General features: G+C 35.2%; 1 long non-coding RNA gene across 1 annotated transcript in view, besides 1 other annotated feature; it reads right to left on the bottom strand.

Moving 5' to 3' along the window:
• The window catches only part of LOC105376103 (uncharacterized), a 96,161-nt gene that overhangs the window by 40,302 nt on the left and 30,932 nt on the right, over nt 1-24,927 (bottom strand). The gene's annotated exons all lie outside the window — the stretch shown is intronic.
• Nucleotides 9,737-10,343: an enhancer, noted in NCBI's record as "OCT4-NANOG hESC enhancer chr9:83015743-83016349 (GRCh37/hg19 assembly coordinates)". NCBI's record gives its function as "activates a minimal SCP1, AML or CMV promoter by ChIP-STARR-seq in primed H9 embryonic stem cells {active_cell/tissue: H9 hESC(primed)}" and the evidence as "EXISTENCE:reporter gene assay evidence [ECO:0000049][PMID:30033119]".

Raw genomic sequence — 24,927 nt, 5'->3', positions numbered from 1 at the left:
TTAACTTACCCTTTTTTCTTAAAAAAATTTACAATAACATAAGTGGGTACATTTGCTGCTCATTATCTTTTTATTTCTATTGGACAGCATTGATATAAATTGTTAGAAAGTTAGAAAATACCAACAAAATATAAAGAAGAAAACTATCACTTATAATACTATCACCTAACAACACTTGTTTTGAACCTTTCAGTGCATTTTCTGGTAGTTATTTTTCTATGCATATCTTATCAGAATTAGGATCACAATATGGATGGATAGATACATAGATAGTCAGATAATACAGATATAGACAGAAATCCACCAACACTATCTTTCTTTACTTCATTCTGAGGCTTTCTATGGTATTGGGCTACACAGTTTGACCTCTTTCTTCTTCCTGATGAACATAAAGCTTTGAATAAAATGAAGTGACTTTGGGACACTAAATCACCTAAAAAATGTATACTGTGAAATAAGCATTTGAGTCCAAGCATTTCATCCTGAGAGGTCTAAAGTGAGTCTGGTTTCAGAGGCTTCTCTGGTAACTTTGGGGGACAGGTGGAGAGGAAGGCAATCCAGGCTTTAATAAAAACAGGCTGGACCAAAAAGATTCTTAATTGGATGTTGCCTTTAAGCTAAAGAAGGAAAATGCATGTACACCAGACCTCAGCTTGCTGCTGCCATTTATTTAACGGAGTTTTACAAAAGCAGAAACTTCACTACAGTCAGTGATTTATCACCCAGGGGAATTCAAGGAAACTCCCTCATGTGAGCTATTCATTTTCTTGTTCTGAGCATCCCAAATCATCTCAGCAGGAGAGGATGTGTGTCCCTGACCTTGGCTGCTTTCTCTGGTTTGCATTTCCATTTGCTAAATAGGTCACTGCGCATTGTTTATTCTGGGCCCCAGCTCCAGCAACACTGTGGGATTCCCTCTCCTCCACATTGCCCTTCGCTTTCCTCTTTCTTCAACCCCCACCCTGTGGGACTTGCATAAGCGCTCAAGCAACTTAAATTGTGCTTGTGTCCACACGAACAACCAGTTCAGCTGTTTCAACTGAATGAGATGGCCTAGGATTCTATTCAGTCTACTAGGCAGGCAAATGAATGGAAAATAGTCACATTTGAAGCCAGCCCTGGCAAAGATGGAATGACTAGCTTGATTGAGTGGATTTTCACTTTCTAACTAAGTATGCATGTGTTTTAAGTGGCCATAGCTTTTATTCTTTCTAGCATTAGATTTTTATGACCTGCATTCTTTCAATGTTTTCCATTTTTCTCTCTCTGTTATACATCCTCCCCACCCCCACCCAGGGCCAGTAACTGTTTCAAAATAATAATGCTACTTTGCTTTCATAAGGTCTTTGATCAAAAGATCACAAAACACTCTGTGGATGATTGAGTCTTATACCCCATCCTGTGAGGCAAGGAAAGAATAAAAGAGGAATATGCTTATATCATAAAACCTAAAAGAGTCTCAAAGAAAAACATAAAAAAGGGAATGCATTTTTTAACTCTAATTCATCTGCTGTATTAGACTTGCTTTTTTCTTAAGACAATTTCTTTTTCCAATCTCTTTTGCACAATTGAAGTTTCTCCTGCTTTTTCTACCTTCTCTGAGCATTCTATACGATTCCATTTTATCTCTCTCTGAGTATGTCAGTTATACCTCTTTAAAGAAAAAGTTTTAGGGTGTGAGTTTGCAACATAATTTTTTACATAGTATCAAAATAGGTGGCTTTGAGTTCAAGTTTAAATAGCATCTTTAACTTAAACAAAGAAGAGTATTGGAGAGGCCAGTAATGGCAAGGTAACCAGGAAAAGCACAATAAACAAGAATACGGTTTGTTATGTAGACTTAAATCAGTGTCTTCTGCATCAGCAAAGGCTAACTTAGTCATCCTTCTCTGCCTGATACAAAGAGGGAGATACACTTAAGAATGGACATTCTCTTTATTGATATAAGTTTTCCTTACTGAAGGATAATCTCTCTGTTTTCAGAGCTTCTCCTGTGTCTGCAGTTTCTTAAAGTAATCAATTCAAAATATTCCTTTTGCCAAAAAGGCATGTTTTGAGGTAGCACATTTTAGTCTTCTATGTACCTTATAACAGAGTATGCCTGACTCTTTTTTATCACACAATACATTGTCACTAGTACCTGAAGAGTTATTTTTAAATCAATACAAGTAAGATATTTTACCTTCATTAATTTATTTTATAATGCTTTTCTTTTTATGTGGATCTTCATTTCTGACTTACATTATTTTCCTTCTCCCTGAAGAACTTCTTTTAACATTTCTTGCATAGCAGGTCTGCTAGCCATGAATGTCCTCAGTTTTTGTTTGAGAAAATCTTCATTTCTCCTACATTTTTGAAGGATAATTTCTCTGGATACAGAATTCAAGATTGGTGGTTTTTTTCTTCCAGAACTTTAAATATTTCACTCCATTCTCTTCATTGAAAAGTTTTTGACAACAAATCCCCTGTAATTTTTCTCCTTTTTAAAATATAGATAATTTGGTTCGTTTTCCCCCCAGCCTTCTTTAAAGATTGTCTTCTTGTCTTTAAATTTCAGCAGTTTGAACATGATATTCCTAGGTATGTGAAGTGTTTTTGTTTTTGTTGTTTGCATTTATCCTCCTTGGTGTTCTCTGAGCTGTGGATTGGTATCTTTCACTAATCCTCAGGTTTGGTGTCTTGATCATTTTAAATTTTTTTCAGCCATTATTACTTTAAATATTTCTTCTGCTTCTTTCTCTCTTTCTTCTCATTCTGGTATTCTATTACGAGTAGTGTAGGGGTGAAAGAAACTTTCCTTCCACCCTTTGAAGACAGAAAAATTTGAATTTCTAGAGTAAACTGACAGTCGACAGATTAAAAGGAGAAAAGGCATACAAATTATGTGCATATACACGAGAGCCTCACAAAATTAAGACTCAAAAGATAAGATGACTGGAGTTTTATACAACATAGAATGGAGTAGGGATCAGGGGGTTCCTGGAGGATGATGTGGACAAGCTACAGGAGGGTGAAGGGAGGAACTGCACTGCAAACAAAGTTGTCTTAATATGTAGATAAAGTATCTCAGGTAGCAGCCCTTAGAATAGATTGTAGCCTGTTGTGATCTCTGGGCAAGGTTTCAATATGACCTTTCCAAGATCTGTATTTAGGCTGATATGGGGCCTAAGAGAAAGCCTCTGCTTGCATCTGCTATTTACTTCACTGATGTAGATAGATGTAAAAGGACAGCTTTTTAATAAAGTTGTCTTTTGCAAAAAGCTATTTATGTGTCTGCAGTTTCTCTTAAAAGCCATCTTGAAATATGCCAAAGAAGTATATTTTGGGGTGGTATATATTTGGTGTCCAGCAGTGTGGTAGAGTAATATTATATTTCACTTTGGGAAATTGTAGGAGACTGGTCAGAGTGGTTGGAGAAGCTATAGGGAAACGAGCAGGCCTTCTGAAAGGTCAGAAGGCTCTGCATAGCTTCAGGGGAGAATAAGCTGAGGGCAACTGTTCTCTTACCTTGAGGCAGAGGGTGAAGAATAGGTACAAGAGAGTGTAGGATAATTTACCTTAAATAGACTTGTTTACTTATGTTGTCTGGAAACCCACCTTTGATCATCCACCCATGTAACTGCTCCCTGAAAGGATGAACAATAATATTAATTACCCACAGATTGTGTTTGCTCCAGGCTTTCAGCATTATGTCTGTACTGAATAACAGCAAGCAGCTCCAGCTGTTTGGGACTGCTCACTCTTCAGCCACTAGTGCCGGGCAGTTCCCTAGCTGCTCTTACACTGCATACCTGTGTCTGAGTACTCCTTTCATCTGTCACTCCGCCAGTGTCTGCAGGACAGACCTGGCGGGAGATACCTGTTGATGTACGTTCAAACTTACTGATTCTTTCCTTAGCCATGTTGAGTCTAATCGTGAGCCCATCAAAGACATTCATTCTTCCTTTCAGTTGCTGTGTTTTTTGTTTCTAGAATTTCCTTTGATTCCTTCTCAGGGTTTCCATCTATCTGCTTATCCATCAGTTCTTATGTGTTATCTACTTTTTCCATTAAACTCCTTACCACATTAATCATATTTATTTTAAGTTCCCTTTCAGAGAATTCTAATATTGTCATCATTCTCAAGTTTGTTTCTTATCTTTGCTTTGTCTTCCCATATTGTATTCTTCTTGCCTTTTGTCATGACTTGTAATTCTTTAATTGGAAGCTGGACGTACTATATCAGGTAATAGAAGCTGAGCTAAATAGGCATTTAGAGTGAGGATTTATGTTACTTTGCTGGAAGTTGAGCTGTGTTTAGTGTTTTCTGTAGCTACAGGTACCAGAGGCTTCAACTCTAGTGTTCTTGTTTTTATCTTTCCTGTTAGAAACTTTGGACTTCCTCAGAGAGAGTTCATTTTGGAGTTCTTTCAGCTATAATCTAATGTTATTATACTGGAGCCCAGTGGTTGTGGTGTTAAGATATGGGGAAGAAAGAGTGTTTTATGACCTTACAATTAAATCTCAGTTTTCTGGTGGGCCTGTGTCTCTCTGGGCTGCAGTGTTTCTAATCTATTTCCTTAAAGCTTTGGCGCATGTTGACTATGTCCCACTCCTCTTAGGTAAGATAAAAATAAAGGGGGCTGGAGAGGGAAGAAGGTCCTTATTCCAGCTGTGTTAAAGTTCTGGCAAAATCTTCCTCCTGAAGAGTGGGCCTTTTTTATGGAAAATTCTCTGCATATATTTCACAATGATTAAACTTCCCCTCTACTGACAAAGCCATGAGTGAATCTTCCTCTGATCTTCATGAGTGCATCTTCTCATCTTTATTCAGTGTGAGAACCTGGTATGATTCCTGGAGGTAAATTTCACAGAAGTACGAAGTCCCCAAAGGCTGCAGACACCAGAGTTTTTCACTCTCATGCTAGTCCACACTCAGCCTCCAGTTTTAGCAAAATTACCATTTAAGTGTGAAATCACCTTTGCAAAAATTACAACAGTGAGAAAATTGTGAGAGTGAAAGAGATCTGATCTATCTAACCAACCCCCTTCTTGCCTTTAACCTCTAAACTGCTCTTGGTCATTCCATGGCTTGGCCCAAGCTAACTTTGGGAGAAATTTAGTTTATACTTTAAATGATAATAGCCCTTCCCCAAAATTAAAGCACCTTTGTAAAACTAACGAAAAGACCACCAGATTAGAAGAATAAGAGGAGCCCAAATTCTGCTAAAATATAGGCATAGTTAAATGATTACGAGCCATTGTTCTGGAGGTCACAACATGTGTAACTTCCCCAATTACTCCTGTAATTAACATCACTATTGTAGAACCTAAGATCGGCCTTTTGAGATGTCTTTTCAGGTTTTTACATTTCTGACAATTTGATGGCCCCACCCAGATCCATGACTCAACCAGTCCTGTGGCCCCCACCCAGAAGTAAACTCAGTGCACAAGGACCATTTTCCAAATTCCTATGACTGCATTCCCAACCAATCAGCAGCACCCATACCATAGCCCCCTGCCCTCCAAACTATTTTTGAAAACTCTGGCCTCCAAATTTATGGGGAGATTGATGTGAGTAATAACTCTCTCCCACATAATGTGGCCAGCCTTGCATCAGTTAAACTCTTTCTTTACTGCAATGCCCTGGTCTCAGTGAATTGATTTGGTCTGTGTAATGGGCAGGAAGAACCCATCGGGCAATTACAATTGTACCTACCAGTTATTACTCTAGCCACTTCTGCTTCAGGTAAGCAGATCTGATTTCTACTGTGACTCTCTGGAATCACCTATCTCTCCACATTCTGGGCTGTGGCAGTTTACTGTGCAACCTCAGTTTTCTTATGGATCTAAGAAAAGTCATTGATTTTCAGTTTGTTTAGCTTTATCTCATAAAGATGGAGTGACAACTGCCAAGCATTTTATATATCAGAAATGAAACTGGAAGTCCTCCCATAATTGAATTTTTATTTCTTATTTATAGAAAGTTCGTTTCAGAAGAATACTTCACAGTGTTTGATCATAGCTGAGTTTGAGCATTATCACTCAGAAATGTCAATTACCTGTCAAATGTCTCTCCTGAACTATATATTCATTTTTTCCCCATTGAACAAATATTTACTGTGGGCCTATGGAAGATATCCCTGGGTCTATTCTCCTTGGTACATTATAAAATGCTCAGAAACGAAGCTTCCAAATCAGGCCACAACACCAGGATACATTAAGTTTCACCTTAACAGTTTTTTTAAAGCAATGATGTCTTCACTCAATGGTTGTCCAGTGGTTAATAAGTCAAATAAAACATTAGAGAACTGTAGTATTTCGATTTTCCTTTCTACAGAACAGGTAATGGCCTGTCATGAACTTTGGTGAGAAGCTGATCATGCTCAGATTTTGGACTGGTGGAAGAAATTCTTATTAAACCTTGAATCATCACTGAAAACATGAATTCAGCTGAATAAAAACATTTCTTGGCTCTGTCTACTGAGGTTATCAATTTCCATGTTAACAAAAGTGAACATTTCTCCTTTACATTTCTCAAGTAAAACCATTCTGTTCAGAATGCAATAATCTAGAGCCAGAAAAAAGATTAAAAATGAAGGCACTCTCGTTTTGCACCTGAACAATCAATTCACTCTGATATGAAATAAAATATTTGTTGTGATTCTGCTGTGACCTGATGCTTTATTGCATTTATAGGTCAAGCAACTGTTCAGTCTTGGTAGTTAAAGTGAAAGCAAAAGTTTATGACTGTGAATAGTGGCTTTTCAAGATAAAAATAAAACACTATTCAACAAAAATATACTAAGCAATTGGTGAAATGTTAGCTATTTGAAAATCCTAATTTTCATTGTCACTTATGAATGACTGACTATATTTACTCTTTGGAAAATGATTATAGGGAAATTAGGCCTCATTTACCTTTTATATAAGAATATGGAAACCAAATTCCCAACTTGGAGCAAATGTAGAAGTGTTTTGCTCTGAAGGTTTATGTTTGCCCGGCCTTAGAGTGGCAGACCAGGAAATCACGGTGGAATTCTTTTCCTCTAAGCTATGTTCATTGATGCCACACTAAAGAAAATTTGGAGGGAGTATTTTTTAATTAGTTCTATCTCAGTAACCCTCAAAAATGCTTTAGGGCATGGGAACACAACTGTCCAATGTTCAAGCAACTCCTGTTGATTTAAGTGTAATTGATCAGGAGCAATATACTAAAGAAAGCTTAGTACAAAAGACAAATAAAAAGCTGGAGGCTACTTCTTGTATTGTCTGTGGCTTATTGTACAAAGCAATGAAAGTCTCATCTACTCACCTATCCACAGCCCTGGCTGTTGACTCCTTCTAGTATTAAATAAAATATACCTAGTTTCTTCCTAGAAACATTCTATCCTTAAGCAGATACACATTGATATTCCAATTGTCTCTTGGAGTACAGAAATATTTGGTGGCAATTTTGACCTCCAATCATCAGGTTTCCTGTAACTAAAGAGTTTTGCATGGTCCAGGACTCTAATAATTGCTTTAATTTATATTAAGCGTCTCAGAATTGAAAACATCAGATTGACAGCAGAATGGTAAGTGATTTCATGAGGTATTGTAATGTGGCCAAAATTAATAAACTATAAAAATCACTAGTAAAGTCATTTCCTTTGGAGACATTTTATTTGGAAATTCAAGTAAGCCACGTATGGTATGCATGTGTATTTTGTCACCCATCATGTGTTTTACGTGTGTTTGTGCACATTCTTCTGCTAAAGAAAACATACAAAGAGATATCAGGTTTTTTTGCTATATGAAGTAATGGTTTCTTCCAGGAATTGTGTGCTTGCAGGGTTAATTCAGGAAGGTTATTGCCCAAGAACCACACAGCAGTCATATCTCATCACCTTCAGCAGGAATAATTTATAGTTTAATCTTACATGCAGGCGTATTAAATTAGTATTACTCATCAGAACCCGCTTATTAATAAAACAAGCCAAATTAGCCACTGGAGAATCATATTTGGAAATTCAGTGACAATTTTACATTTTTAATAAAGGCTCAGAAATATTATTGCAGTGCAGGTGGTACAGAGAACTGTGGTCAAATTTGACATTCATTAATAATTGAAGTGTGGAACGTGACAGAGGTGAAAATTGATATTGATTTCTTTCCTCTAATATTTAGAGGAGTTCTAAAAGGTAAATAAAATGAGATAACAAGACATATCAAGTCTCACTGACTTCTTTGATCGCCCCCTCCCCACATGAGAACACATATCACTCGTTTGCCTACCATGTTTTGAATAATTCAGTGCCCATAGTCTTTCCAGTTCAATGCATTATAAAACACACTCAAGCTGAGTTTCAATCATATTAGACTGAAAGCTGATTTTTTTATGAAGGATTATTTAAAACAAAATGCGTCTTGGGCCCAACAGCCTTTGAAGCCAAACAATCCTGAGAGTTCAGTAAGGAAATGTCAACACTGTGGAGAATTTTTCGATTCAGAAAATTAAAGGAATCCTGTTTGATGTATATTAACCATATCAATATTAACGACCTTCTGCTGGATTTCAGCACTGATTTGAGAGCTGAGGTATTATTGGTCTTGTATTTTAACTAGCTGTGAAAGCACTGAGAGAGTTGTTCTTGGGTTGAACTTGACCTGCGTCTGGGAATGCTTTCTGCTCCATCCATTTTGAAAAGCTTTATTCAAGTGGATTTCTCTGCCTTTCTTATCACTTGCACCCCTTCGGAAAATAAAAGATGCTCAAATATAGATGTTAACACTACAGATGCTTTGTTTGGTAATAGCGTCTTTCAGCTTCCTGTCTTTAAAAAATTATATTGCCAACCAGCCATTTGACATAAAAGTAACTCTTTTTACCAAAAGACACTTATATTGGGATGCCAGAAGAAAGAAGTCATTTCAAACTTCCTTTTGTCATAGATTCATACTGTAATACACTTGTTCAACAGATCATGGAGCTTCCTTTCTACTGACCAACTAATGAAGCAAAATGATCTTCAGTGGACAATATAAGTAGAAGCAAAATGTTACTAATTATCAGTCTTTTTCCTGAGCCATACAGAATCTTGTAATTTCAAGTAAGACAAACTCAAAGAGAAAGTGTTACAATAGTCTAGCATACCAGCATTACTCTTTTAACATTCAGCAGTTTTCACTTCCAACTAACCCTGAACCCTAGACTACTGAGAATGTCTTTATCATTAATTTTTAAATCTCTCCTCTATTCATTAAAATGGTCACAATTTCATAAGTAAAATTAAAGAAGAAGCATAATAGTGGCAGGACATCCAAGATATTCTAGATAGATGCTCTGAGATAAATGGCCATCTTCTATTTCAACTGAATATAGGTCTTATATACCAAAAAGTATCTGAGACAGAACTCAATCAATTTAGAAGTTTGTTTTGCTAAGGTTAAGGATCATGACCTGTGACACAGCCCCAGGAGGTCCTGAGAGAATATGTCCCAGGTTATTGAATTTCAGCTTTATTTTATACATTTCAGAGAGACAGAAGTTACAGGTAAAGACAAATTAATACAAGTAAGGTATACATTGGTTTGGTCCAGAGAGACAGGACATCTCGAAAGGTGGGCTTCCAGGTCATAGGTAGATTTAAAGATTTCCTGAATGGCAGTTGGTTGAAGGGGTTAAGCGCTGCCTGAGGAGTTGAAATAAGCTTGGGTTAATGTAAGGGGCGGGATGTGTGGTGGAGGCGGTTGTGAAAGGTAAGGTTCTTGTCTTATAGATGAAGCCTCCATATAGCTGGCTTCAGAGAGAATAGATGGGAATGCCTCTTATCAAATGTGTCAGACTCTAAGAGACCTAGTAAAGAAAAGAAATTCTCTACAGATTGCAAATTTCCCCCCACAAGAGACAGTTTTGCAGGGCCATTTCAAAATGTGTCAGAGAAATGTATTTTGGGGTGAAATACTTTGATTTCCTTTGAAGAACCTGTTATCTGTCTTGTGATGTTATTCAAGAGTCAGGCTGGCATTGGTATATTATGGCTACAAATTGTCTGTTCTTTCAGTCTTAGGAGATCTATTTTAATGTTAATACTGGTCAGTTGAGCCTGAACTCTGAAGAGAAAGGAGTATAATGAGGCATATTCTGATCCCCCCAACCCACCCCTTCTGTCATGGCCTGAACTAGTTTTTCAGGTTTGTTTGGTCACCTTTTGTTAAGAGGAGGGTCCATTCAGTCAGTTGGAGGACTCAGAATTTTATTTTTGGTTTACAGTCAGTTTTCTTAGAAATAAGAAACTCATCTCATAGTTGAAGTGAGAAGATAGGCTGATCACCCCTCTTGACTATATTTACAAGTAGCCTCTAAGGGTGTCTACATATTGGTCCCGCCAGCAATCCACTACTCCATCACTGTGGAGTCAGCTAAGTGAGGATCTTTTCGAGGCCATGCTAGAAACATAAAACATAGTAACTGAGGTGATTGGCAAACAAGAAGAAGGCGGAGGAGAAGATGAAAAGGAGAAGCAAGAGTAGTAGGGACCCCAAATTTCATTGTTTTCTATATTCTCTGCTTTACAAGGGAAAGACATCCGGGTCTGAATTCTTTTCATTCTTAGTCAATAATGTGAGTCCAGCATCTGAGGGAAAAAGCTTAAAAAAAGGAAATATCCAGTTTGGGATTAAACTATTTTGCATGCAAGATCACAATTTAAAAGGCCTTCCAAAATGAAGGGATAACCTTTGAAAGAATAACTCCCAACCCTCTCAACCTAAACAAATGAATACTAAAAATACATTTTAAAAAAACCAGCAAAGAAACACACTAACCACAGCCAAACAAAACAAAGGCCTACGTCATACCAATTGACAGTAGCTGTCCAGGAGAGAGAAAGAAGACTCCAAAATTCTATCTGATTTAGCAGAATCTAGTGTAGCTTCTATATTTTTTTCCCCAAAATCAAAGGATAAAGGATTTGAGTAAAAACTCCAAAAGCAGATTGAGAGAATGTACAGAAAACAGTACAAAAAAACCCAAACCTCCTTAATGAGAGAAGCTCCTTCTCATATCAGTGGAAACCCAGGTTTTATCTGGGTATAAAATAATAATAGGTCATTTCAGACAGCTTCTTTTTGTATTTATTTATTTAAATTTTAGTCAACATTTAAAAACTATCCAATCAGAATGAGAGGTAATTCTACATGCATTGGTTATTCAATTCTCACAGTTTCATTTGTATTAATCGTAGATTTGACTGCATTTGTGCATTTAGTTTTCTTTCTATACAACTGACAAAGAAGGAGATGAAAGAGATTGAGTAATATTTGCATATGCAACTAATCAAAGCAGAATTGCTTTAACACAAATGTCCTTTTGTGATCTCAGATTAATATCTTTATTCCTAAATAGAACATAAATAACATTTATTGGCTGAGATTATTTGCAATAGGCAAGCCTGCCTAGTGTTTACTGCCCGGCAGATAACTATTTATAAGTCTCACTGAGTATGCTAACAGAGAAAAAATGCTGATACTGAAATCCCACTTTACAAGAGTGAATTTAAATTACCTTCAGTAGCCAGTATTAATGAAACCAGGTAAAATGACACAAGGGTATTCCACAGGGTATTTTGTTTTAATTAGAGATAGAAACTATGAGCTTTTAAAAATATTACATTCTATTACTCTCTCATTTTAAAAATCTAGGAATATTAATGAAAACTGAAAAACATTACTTAGCTATTTTAGTCCAGTTTTTAATATACAGCAGCTCTGGATTAATATTAAGGGTAAATAGTTAAGAACTTGAGTAATGAATATAATTTGGAAGCATTCAGATACAAGTAATAAAACGTATTAGAAAGTGAGTATCCATTTACTCAGAGATAGCTGTATCATTTAGTTAAAAGTTACTACAATTAAAACATTATGGCAGTACTTCATGAATAAATACATATACAAATTAGGCAGAAAATACAAACAGATCTAAATCTAGAAAGTTTGATCATGATAAACTAAAATTATAATCTAAAGATTCAAGTTAATCATTCAAAATTGATGCTGAGAAAACCATATGCCAACTTAGAAAATAATAATGTTAGTTTTTTTTTAACCACAGGCTATATTAAAAAATAAATTACAGATGGATTAAAGTTGTAATTATAAAAACAGAAAAATATTTTCAGTAGACCCGAAAGCTGTAAAGATTCACATATTTAAATTATAAAGTGTAAAAGATTCTATGTGATAAAAGGTGATATATACAAAGTGAAAATAACATGATGGACTTGGAGATAATATTTGTACTATATATAACAGACAAAGGATGAATACTCCTAAATATAAAACATGTTTACAAATTAATAAGAAAAATATAAACATCACAGTGTAAAAATAGGCTCAAAATACGAACATAGAAGTCATAGAAAAAGGCAAATAATCCATAAACCTGTGAAAAGATGCAGAATAACACTAGCAGTCAGTGAAAGGCAAATTAAAGCAAGAAATGTCATTTTAACATGAAGATTAGCAACGAATGAAGGGGCTGTATATTCTAGTTGAGGTAAGAACGTAAGTGGTATTTTTAAACAATATTAACATCTTTTTATGATATTATCTGCATTGTCCTAATAATAGAGATTCAGTGATCAATGAGACACAAATTTCTAATATCAGGAATGAAAGAGGAAACACCACTACAGTGCTTACTGACTTTCAAAAAGGTAAGAAAAAAAGTTTGTGAATAACTTTGTCAACAAGTTCAATAACTTAGGCTAAATTTTAAAAGATAAAAATTATCAAAACTGACATCAGAAGTAATAGAATGTTAATAGCTTTATTCTCGTTATAGAAATTGCATTCTTACTTAAAATCTTCCCATAAAGAAGACCACAGGCCAAGATGACTTTACTCTTTTGGAAAAAAAGATGAAGCAAAAAAACATTTTAAACTCATTTTATGAGGTTAGCAATACTTCAAAACCAAATCCTGAGAAAGATCTTGCAAGAAAATAAAAAAATAAAACTACAAAGCAATAACCCTCATGAATATTGAGTCAAAATATCTTAGGACAAAATGTACAGTGTTTATGACCACATGGGAGTAAAGTTAGCTCCTAAAATGAAAAGTTCCTTTAACACTCAAAACTTTCACATCCAGAGTTTCAGAGGCATTTGAACTAGAGCAACTCCATCTTGATTAGGGGCTGGGTAAAATGAGGCTGAGACCCACTGGGCTGCATTTCCAGATGGTTAGGCATTCTAAGTCACAGGATGAGATAGGAGGTCAGCAGAAGATACAGGTCATAAAGACCTTGCTGATAAAACAGGCTGCAGTAAAGAAGCTGGCCAAACCCACCAAAACTGAGATGGTGTCGAGAGTAACCTCTGATGGTCCTCACTACTACACTCCCACCAGCCCCATGACAGTTTACAAATGCCATGGCAACATCAGGAAGTTACCCTATATAGTCTAAAAGGGGAGGCATGAATAATCCATCCCTTGTTTAGCATATAATCAATAAATAACCATTAAAATGGGCAGTCAGCAGCCCTCAGGGCTGCTCTGTCTATGGAGTAGCCATTCTTTATTCCTTTACTTTCCTAATAAACTTGCTTTTGCTTTGCACTCTGGACTCACCCTGAATTCTTTCTTGCATGAGATCCAATAATCCTCTCTTGAGGTCTGGATCGGAACCCCTTTCTGGAAACAAGGGAAAATGTCTAAGAAAACCCTTTCTGGAAAAATGTCTAAGAAAACCCTATACCTTAATGGTAAAAGAGTGAACATTTCCCTCCTAAAATCAGGAACTGAGCAAGTTAGACTGTTTCTACTACTCCTAATTACCATGGTACTCCAGGTCCTCACCAATGTGATAAGGCAAGAAAATAAATAAGAGGTGGATTATGACTATGTGCATAAAAAATCCTAAGAAATCTACCTCCCAAAATACTGAATATGAGTAAATTTAGCCATATCACAGCATATAAGTTTAAAGGACACAAATTAATTTTAGTTTTATATACAAGCATATAAAATTTTAAATTAGAAAATGAATGAATTGAAAAACAAACTGAAAAGATCAATACCACTTAAAATAGATCAAAATTATAAAATGCTAAGGGGTTAATTTGACAAAATAATTGCAAGCCCTGTTAAAATAAAATGATAAAACATTGCTTAGAAAAGTGAAAATATTTAAATAAATTGAGAAATATAACATTTTATAGTTTGGAAATTCAATATTGTAATTAGATTGATGTAAAAGTAATTGCAGGTTTTGCCATTAAAAGTAATGGCAAAACCAAAAACTTTTAATTTGCCATTAAAAGTATTAGTAATTACTTTTGTACCAATGTAACAAGCTATAAATTGCTCAAATGACTCTAAATTTATCTATAGACTCGATGTCATCCCCATCTCCAAAAAGTATTCTCTCAAGAGGTGACTAGATAAACAAATTGCAACATATCCATACAATGGAATACTATACAGAAATAAAAAGGAATGAACTATCTATACCTGAACAACATTGATAAATATAATAATTATACTAAGTAAAAGAGGCCAGAAAATAAAGAGTATACTATATCATTCTACAAAGTTATATAAAATATGAAAACATGCAAACTCATTTAAAGTGACCAAAGGCAGATTAGCAGCTCCCTTTGGGCAGGACAGGTGCAAGGAAGAAGTAGAGGGAGAAATTATAAAAGGACATGAGGAAATTTTGGGGGTTGATGGATATGTTCATCATCTTTATTTTTTTATTTTTTATTTTGAGACAGATCTTGCTCTGTCACCCAGGCTGGAGTGCAGTGGCATGATCTTGGCTCACTGCAACCTCAACCTCCTGGGTTCAAGCGATTCTTCCGCCTCAGCTTCCCATGTAGCTGGAAATATAGGTGTGCGCCACTATGCCCAGCTAATTTCTGTATTTTTAGTAGAAATGGGGTTTCATCATGTTGGCCAGGCTGATCTCAAACTCCTGACCTCAGGTGATCCTCCTGCCTTGGCTTCCCAAAGTGCATAATCTTTATTATGAACATGATAATGATTTTATGAGGAGCTACAAATGTTATAACACATCATATTGTTAATTTTAAATATTTGCAATTTAATATATCTCAATAATACCTTAATAAAATTATAAAATGAAATGAAATAAATTGTCTATAGCATTCATATCTTTCTGTTTTGAGATGAGTTTTAAATAAAGTGTAAGAGCCACCTCTGCATGATCCTGGCCAATAAAGGCGCTGTTGCCTATGTTGCCTATACAGAATCTCAGATTGGAGAACTCTTATATTAGGGTTCAATACACCATGCTACTGATGCCTCATCCATTCTTAGGTTTTGACTCATGAACAAAAAAATGACACAAATAGCCGATTGAGAAATAAAGTTTGGATTTATTAATTAGGAAAAGAATATAATACACTCCTAAATGCTAGGTTTCATGGCTAAAAGATACATTGGGGAACTCTGCTCATACTAAGTGATCTAGACAATGCCTTTTAATTGTTTCCTTTAAAATATCATTTTTTTAATTTTGTGCATAGACTTGAGGATAGTATTTAATTATTGTAAATTGGGAAAATATCAGTCCCTAGCTCACACACTGGTACCAGAACAAAGGGAAATAAGTTGACTTTTAATGACTGGAGCCTGAAGATGGCTAAAGCCACTAAGCCCATAGGTGGGAAAAGAGCCCCATCCAGCTACAAGGTAGACAAAGAAAAGAAAATATACGTTTACTCCCACTATCAGGTAGGAAAAAGATTCTTAAATTTTTGCCAACTGATGAAACTGGATATAGGAAATATAAGAGATGGTATAACACAATTTCATGAATGAACAATTCATAAAAATGAGTACTGGCTTTTAACCCAGTCATTTGGCCAATCAGATTATCACGGTTTGGACATTCATTTGAGCAAAGTCATCTGTTTGTTTTATATTACTTTGCGATATTCATTTATTCATGCCACTAACTTTTATTCAACACCCACTGTGGAAAATATGCCCCATGTGGGGAATAGGGGAAGAAAACCAGAGGGTATGGACATAACCAAGGGTGACTGATTATCCATACGCTTCTTACAGTCCAGAAATTGTGAAATCATTTCTTTCCCTTTGAACTTTTCAAAAAGTGAATTAAGTCATAACTCAAATGACTGCCACAGCATTTGATCTGAATTGCATTGCTAAGTTCATTGTTACTTTGTCCTTATTTTCCGCCAAAAACTTCACTGAAACTTTTACAGCTGAACATGACATCTGGCTTGCATGCCTTTTCCCAACTTTGTGCACAAATACTCTTAAAGTAGATAAAGATGAAAATTAGTGGTACTAAAACTTAAGACTGACAAACAATGTGGGACAGTGACAAGTTGGAAAAGCATTTATAACAAACTTTCAAGTGTTTCAAGGCATCAATATTTTGTACAGATGTTCCTTGACTTATGATAGCATTACATCCAAATAAATCCATCATTAAGTTGAAAATATTGTAAATTGAAAAATGCATTTAATATACCTTACCTACTAAACTTCATAGCATCACCTAACCTACCTTAAATGTGCTCAGAACACTTATGTTAGCTTAAAATTGGATAAAATCATCTAATTCAAATGCTATTTTATAATTGTGTTGAATAGCATTTGTAATTTATTGGATACTGTACATTATATTAAAAAATAGAGTTTTGCACCACTGTAAAGTAAAAAATTGTTAAGTATTGGTCTTTCTACTTGCTCTTAGTTTTACCTTTTTAAAAAAATCACAGATATTATTATAAGGATTTGTATTTATCCTTCTGCTTGCATTATTTAAAATCTCAAATACTATTTTTAAGGATAAGATGTATTTTTTCATTGATGAAATTATTGTATGAATTTTATGCAGTAAAATTCTGTCTTTTAGTGTACAGTTCTGAGTCTTGATGAACTATGCCTTCTTCTGAACTTCTTCTGAAGGCATAGTACACATTTTTTCCATCTTTTTACTTTCAAACTACTTGTGCTTTATACTTACAGTGGTTTATTTTACATAATATGTAGTGAGATCTTCCTCTTTTATCTAATTTGAAAACCTCCGCCTTTCAATGAGAATGTTAAACCTTAAGGTTTTTCACTCTTATTAGTGTCTATTCTTTCTTCTAATGCTTTAAGTGGTTCTTTCTCTGCCTTCGATTGTTTTCCTCATAGGCATGTGCTTATCAGTACTCAGCTGAGAATACAAATGGGACCTCTGTAAGCTTTAGAGGTCTCTCCCTCTGTGTAACTCTATCCTCTCTGGTATTGTACCCTGTGATCTCAAGGTGTCCATATTTCATATTGTATACTAGATATTTTAAGTTTTATATACATATATAACATATATATCATATATTAAACATTACATATGATATATATCATGTGTTACGCACTATATTTTTATGATATATTAACAATTAAAATATTGTATATTGTATTGTACATTAAGAAGTAGCAAGCTTAGACCCAACGGAAAAAAAAAAAAGTATAAGCTCACATCACTGAAGTAGTGCTCCTGAAGGGAAACATTCTATCGACAGAGTAACAAATCTTAATTTTATATCAAGCTTTGTTGTTAGTTTTCTGCACTCGATGCATCTAACTTGTCATGACAGTCTCCTTCTTGCATCTCTTTTTTGTTTGAAAAGTTAAGCAAATTTTTGTAATTTTTTTCTAAGTTGAATGGTTTGTACATTTGAAAATTTTGTTTTTTCCAAGTACAGTATGTAAGCACATTTCCATCATCGACAGTGGCCCCATCAGATTATAATGGAGTTGAAAAATTCCTATCACAAAGTGACAGTATAACCATCATAATTTCATAACTTAATGTGTTACTCAACTGTTTGTGGTGATGCTGGTGTCAACAAACCAACTAAGTTGCAGTCCTATGAAAGTCTAGCACATACAATTATGTATAATACATAACAATTGAAAATGATAATAAGAACTATGTTACTGGTTTATTTATTGACTATGCTATGCTTGTTATCTTATTTTAGAGTATACTCATAAAAAAATGTTAACTGTAAAACAGCCTCAGGCAGGTCCTTCAAGTGGTTTCCAGAAGAAGGCATTGTTATCACAGGAGATGGCAGCTCCCTGCATATTATTTACCCTAAAGACCTATCAGTGGGACAAGATGTGGAGGTGGAAGATAAAGATATTGATGATTCTGACCCTCTGTAGATCTAGGCTAATGTATGTAGTTGCTTTTAACAGAAAAGTTTTTTTTTTAAAGTTTTGTGAATAAAAAGGCTTATAGAATAAGAATTTAAAGAAAAATATTGTATAGCTACACATATATTTGTTTTAAGCTGTGTTATTACAACATTAAGAAAGTTAAAAAATTTAAAATTTTAATAAAGAAAACAGTAAGCTAAAGTTAATTTATTATTGAAAAAAATTTTAATGAATTTAGTGTAGTGATATGGTTTGGCTGTCTCCCCACCCAAATCTCATCTTGAATTGTAGTTCCCATAATCCCCAAATGTGGTGGGAGAAACCTGGTGTGAGCTACTTAAATTATGAGATGGTTTTCCCCATGCTATTCTCATGATAGTGAGTAAGTTCTCACAAGATCTGATGATTTTGTAAGGACTTTCCACTTCTTTTCGCTCATTCTCCTTCCTGCTGCCATGTGAAGAAGGACGTGTTTGCTTCCTCTTCCACCATGATTGTAAGTTTCCTAAGGCCTCCCCAGCCATGCTGAACTGTGAGTCAATTAAACCTCTTTCCTTTATACATTACTCAGTCTTGGGGATGTCTTTATTAGCAGCCTGAGAATGGACTAATACAAGTAGATAACTGTGCAATGTTTATAAAGTCTACAGTAGTGTACAGTAATGTCCTATACCTTCACATTCACTCACCACTCCTTCACTAACTCACCCAGAGCAACTTCAATTCCTGCAAGATACATTCATGGTAAGTGCCCCATACAGTTGTACTATTTTTATCTTTTATAACATATTTTTCTGTACCTTTTCTATTTATAGATGTATTTGTATGTACACACAAATATTTATTGTGTTACAAATGCCTACACTACTCAATGCAGAAACCTGTTGTACAGGTTTGTAGCCTGAGAGAAATAGGCTATATCATAGAGCCTAGGTGTGCGGTAGGCTATAACATCTGTTTGTGTAAGTGCACTCTATGATGTTCACACAATGATAAAATTGCCTAATGACAGATTTCTCAGAAAGTATCCTCATTGTTAAGCAACATGTGACTATTTCAGAATTTTTTTTTCAATTTTCTTTCTGAGTTGATGGGGTTGTATATTTTTTAATCCTTGGATGTGAAAAAAATTTAACTTTTCACATGTAAGTTATGATTTTGCTTCTTGTACAGTTTATATTCAAAATCACTTTTCCTTAAATTTGGAAGGATTTTTTTTATTTCCTTATAGTATCGAATACTACTGAGAAATTTAATTTTAATATTTTGTGTTGTTGCTTTGTATGCAATCTTTGTTTGTTTTATCTAGAAAGTTTTAAATTTTTGTATTTCCATTTCATCTTCTGAAGGTCAAAGCCAAATGAAGTCTTGATAAGTAATTCCCACCACTTAACCTTCTCTACAGTTAATACAACCTTGTAAACTAAAAAACATATTTACCTTCTGCTCTGAATAATTTTTAAAATCTTCCTTTGATTATATCTTTTTTATTATTATACTTTAAGTTCTGGGATACATGTGCAGAACGTGCAGGTTTGTTACACAGTTATACACGTGCCTTGGTGGTTTGCTGCACCCATTAACCCGTCATCCCCATTAGGTATTTCTCCTAATGCTATCCCTCTCCTAGGCCCCCACCCCCTGACAGGCCCTGGTATGTGATGTTCCCCTCCGTGTATCCATGTGTTCTCATTGTTCAACTCCCACTTATGAGTGAGAACATGCAGTGTTTGGTTTTCTGTTCCCGTGTTAGTTTGCTGAGAATGATGGTTTCCAGCTTCATCCATTTCCCTGCAATGGACATGAACTCATTCTTTTTTATGGCTAATAGTATTCCATGGTGTATATGTGCCACATTTTCTTTATCCAGTCTATCATTGATAGGCATTTGGGTGGGTTCCGAGTGTTTGCTATTGTGAACAATGCTGCAATAAACATATATGTGCATGTGTCTTTATAGTAGAATGACTTATGATCCTTTGGGTATATACCCAGTAATGGGATTGCTCGGTCAAATGGTATTTCTGGTTCTAGATCCTTGAGTAATCTCCACACTGTCTTCCACAATGGTTGAACAAATTTACACTCCCACCAACAGTGTAAAAGCATTCTTATTTCTCCACATCCTCTCCAGCATCTGTTGTTTCCTGATGTTTTCATCATCGCCATTCTAACTGGCATGACATGGTATCTCATTGTGGTTTTGATTTGCATTTCTCTAATGACCAGTGATGATGAGCTTTTTTTCATAAGTTTGTTGGCCACATAAATGTCTTCTTTTGAGAAGTGTCTGTTCATATCCTTCTACCACTTTTTGATGGGGTTAGTTTTTTCTTGTAAATTTGTTTAAGTTCTTTGTAGATTCTGGATCTACCTGTGGTAGTCTGAATAATAGCAGCCCCCGCTGCCCCACTCCCCACAAAAAAAGAGAGAGATAGCCTAATCCCTAGAAGATGTGAGAATGTTGTTACATGGCAAAGGGAAATTAAGATCCAAATGGAATTATGGTTGCTAATCAGCTGACCTTAAGATTAGAAGATTATCATGGATCACCCAAGTGGGCCTAATGTAATTGCAAAAATCCTTAAAAGACAGAGGCAGAAGAGTCAGTGAATAAAAGGTGACAATGGAAGCAAGGTCAATGATGTAGTGAAGGACTCAACCTGCCATTGATAGACTTGAAGATAAAGAGATTGAGTAGAATAACAAGTGCAGTCTGTAGAAGACTTTTTCAAGTCAAGGAAATAGATTTTCCTCTAGAACCTCCAAAAGGGAATGCAGCCCTGTTGACACCTGGATTTCAGTCCAGTGAGACACACGTTGGACTTCTAATTTACAGAATTGTAAGACAGATAATAAATTGGTGTCATTTTAAGTCACTAAGTTTGAGTTAACTTGATAATACAGCAACAGGAAGCTAATACAATACACTTACTCTCTCCTCTATTTCTGGAATGCCTTTATAACAATATTATATTTCCTGTATTATCCATCCTCCATATATATATATGTATATTTATATATATATGTGTATATATTTATATTTAAATATTAGTGTGTATATTTGAAATACATACATTTTGTATGCTTACACACACACACACATATATATACACACACACCTATATATTTTAAGTTAGCATTTCTCTGCCATAAGTATACGAGAAAAACCAATAAGATGTTCCCCTATAATTTCCTATTAATTCTAATTAAGGCCTTTGCTTTATTCTGGTTTTGACCTAATTATATTTGGTCTTCTGAATTATTCCTGTTTTTTTTTGGAATTTGCTTTTCTGTTTGTATACTTGGTTGTTTTGATATAATTTTTCTGTTTTTTTTCTCAGTTTTATTGATTCTTCTTATCTACCTATTAAGTCATTTATTTATTCATTGAATTAGGTTTAATGGAACTGGTATGTACTATAGGTTTTTCTCTGCCTGTGTGAGGATGTTTTTCTCCCAACAAGCCAGTATTGTGAATGAGAGCTTTGTCTGCCTATTTATAAAAGGGGATTTGGGGTGGTCTTTTAGTTGTACTCCCATTCTCTCCATGTATATGTGTATTTGTGTACAAGTCTAGTGTCTTGGTTAACCTTTTCAAGGACCATGAAGCTATTTCAATTTCTTAGGATATATGATTCACATGACAATGACATTTTTAAAGACATATTTTTCATTGGAAGAAAATATCTTTTAACAGATGTTACTCCATTTTGTTTCTGTGGCTTTCTTTGGCAAGGATTACAAATAACTAGATTTAATTTAATTATTCATTTTCCTTTTCAACTTTTATTTGAGGTTCAGGTGTACACGTGCAGGTTTCTTTCATGGGTAGTGTTTCATGGGGATTTGGTGTACAGATTATTTTGTCACCCAGGTAATGAACATAGTACCTGACAGGGAATTTTTCAGTCCTTACCCTGCTCCCACTCCTCCATCCTCAAGTAGGCCCCAGTGTCTATTGTTCCCTTCTTTGTGTCTACGTCTACTCAGTGTTTAGCTCCCACTTGTAAGTGAGAACATGCGGTATTTGGCTTTCTGTTCCTGCGAATAACTGGATTTTAATGAGAAAAGAAAATCACTTTATTTTATAAACAACTGTCATGTTTTCAAAATATGTCTTAAAACTTCAGTCCAGAGATATTTGCAGAAATATTCTCCCTGAATAACAGAAAGGACTTTGTCCTGTAGAACAATCAATAACGATGGCTCAATGACTTTGGCAACTGAAGTTCTAAATGAGAGAATAAGAGTGCTCTTCCCAGGGTTTGAGAAGTCTATGCCTCTGCATTTCTCTATCTGTTTTTTTGCTACAGTCAACAAAACCAAAAACTTAACAGATTTAGTTTATGTTTGTATCTACTAACTTACTCATTGTCTGAGGACTGCTTTGAGCATGCAATTGCCCATGTTGTCGGAGCTACTCCTTTCTTCTTCTGTTAGTGCCACGCTTGTTTGATGGACCCAGCTCATAGAGGGCATCTATCACTCTACTTTGTCTACCAAATCTAGAGACCCATTAAAGTGCTTGGGGCATTAGCGTGAAGAGGGCTTCCTTTTGTGTGTTGTGCATGCGTGTGTGTTTATTTAATACTGTGGTCAGGTTACAGTAGCACTACACTGGGCTTCATTTTTGGCAAACTTTTCATTTCTTTTTGTTTACAAGGTGGACTTTTTGTTTACCAAGAAGCATTTTTACTGGTTTCATGCCAAGTGAGTATTTGCCTGTCCCCTTGTATCCATATATTTAACTATTTCCCTAGCATTTACTGTCACAAACTTGGTCAATATTTATTAACTTTGCTCTTCAATTTGTTTGCACACTTATAAACACAGTAAACTCTCACCACACTGATGGTAGACTCCATCAGAGCATGCTCAAAGGGGCACAGGGGGGAAGATGCTGGGGGAAGGTGCTGTCAGAGGCTGATTGACAGTATCAATGTTGTAGATGGATCTAATGACAAACATGCGTAGTTCTTACTTATGCCTTCCTGCTGCCTAATAATAGGCAATGACAGCTCTGAATCAGAACATTTGAACCTAGAAGAGGTAATTTTCCACTATATGTGGCACTACTGTACCTATGGAAATATATCTTATTAAGGGCTTTTCTTTTATGCTACACAAATATGAGGATTTCGCTTTCTGGAACAATAAACATTCTCTTGCCATGACAGAGCCAAAGCAGATGCCGCCAGTCAGAAACATTTCTGAATTATGTGACTTGGGTTCCTTAACAAGGCTAAAAAAACTGTTTATTCTTTTTGTTTTATGATTAAACAAGATGAGTTTACCTAATCTATGTAGCCAACAAATAGAACTACTGAAATAACAGGCCCATATTATTATTTTCAGATAATTTGATAAATACTATAGGAATATTATTTTACTAATACTAATAATTGCTATCATTTAAAAATTATTTTATAAGCCAAGCATTGATTGCTTTAAGCTTAAAAATATTACTAACTTATTCATTCCTTACAGTCACTCTATGATATTGGTACTATTATTCATCACCATTGTGCAGATGAAGAAATTGAGGCACAGAGAGGTTAAGTAACTTGCCCATGATCACACAGCTATAAATGGTAGAAATGAAATTCAGACTCTGACTGCCCAGCTCCAGAGCACATGAACTTAACCTCTATGCTACTTTGCTTCATCAACCACTATCATATTAATTTAATTGGATTCTAAATTCAGATGAGCAATTTTTTCTTGGTTGCAAGGAAATCATTTAATAAGCCCAAATTGCAATGTTTGAGATGCAAGTCTGAGTCCAAATCTGAAAACTCTAAACCACGTGATTTCCAAAAACACACTGGGTATTTGTTCTGAAGCTTGACATATTATAAGTTTGCATTTAAAATAACAGGTCCTATTATAAATAAGTATAAGAATGTCATTCTAAAGAGTAGTGTATCCAACAAGTGCTACAATTTCTTTAATGGTAATGAAAGGAAGAGATGTTTCCTGAAACACTAAATGAGTTGATTTGCTTTTAGTGAGTGAACACTAAAGTCTGTTGACAAGACCTAACCTGAAAGGACTATGTAAATATGCTATCACTCTATTCAGAGACAGCCTTGTTTTTTTTCTTTAGCAAACAGGAATGGTAAGATATAGTTTCAGTTGGTATGAACGAATGCATCATTTTTGGTTTTGGTTAAATCTGTACTCTAATAAATGTCTTCAACTTGGAGGAGACATGGGTTCATAGTTCCCTTTCTTTATGCCTATTATCACCATATAAAACAATTCCAAGAAGGTAAATCTGTGCTTATGTATGTATGTCCAATCAGAGTGTGATGCAGCTATTCAAGCATACTTTATAGCCTAAAATACTGGTAAAGTGAGGGCAGCCAGTAACCGGTGAATTGTCCTACCATTGATTCATCTGTGAGGTCCTTCATTCTTCCCTTCTTTTGGAATTAAGAACTGTACATAAGGTCCTATTCCAAGTTTCACTCTTTATTCTCCTCTTGTATGACTGAGCACTTTCCCTATTCAATGCCACAAGCTGCCAAAAACAAGGCTTAGTACTTTCGGGCCATGACATAGGTGTCTGTATAGAGATTAACTTCTGTCCAAAAATCACTAATTCTAAAATAAACATAGGGGAAAACTAATTGGGGAAATGACTGGGATGAATTAAATATGTAGGGGGCGGGGAGGAGGACAGATATATATGTTGAGTATGTCTTTTAAAAACATGTTCTATTGGCCGGGCATGGTGGCCCACAC

This window comes from Homo sapiens, chromosome 9 (genome assembly GCF_000001405.40).
Source record: "Homo sapiens chromosome 9, GRCh38.p14 Primary Assembly".
Taxonomy (NCBI): Eukaryota; Metazoa; Chordata; class Mammalia; order Primates; family Hominidae; genus Homo; species Homo sapiens.
The sequence above is the reverse complement of the archived record's forward strand: the minus strand, read 5'-3'. Positions and strand labels throughout refer to the sequence as shown.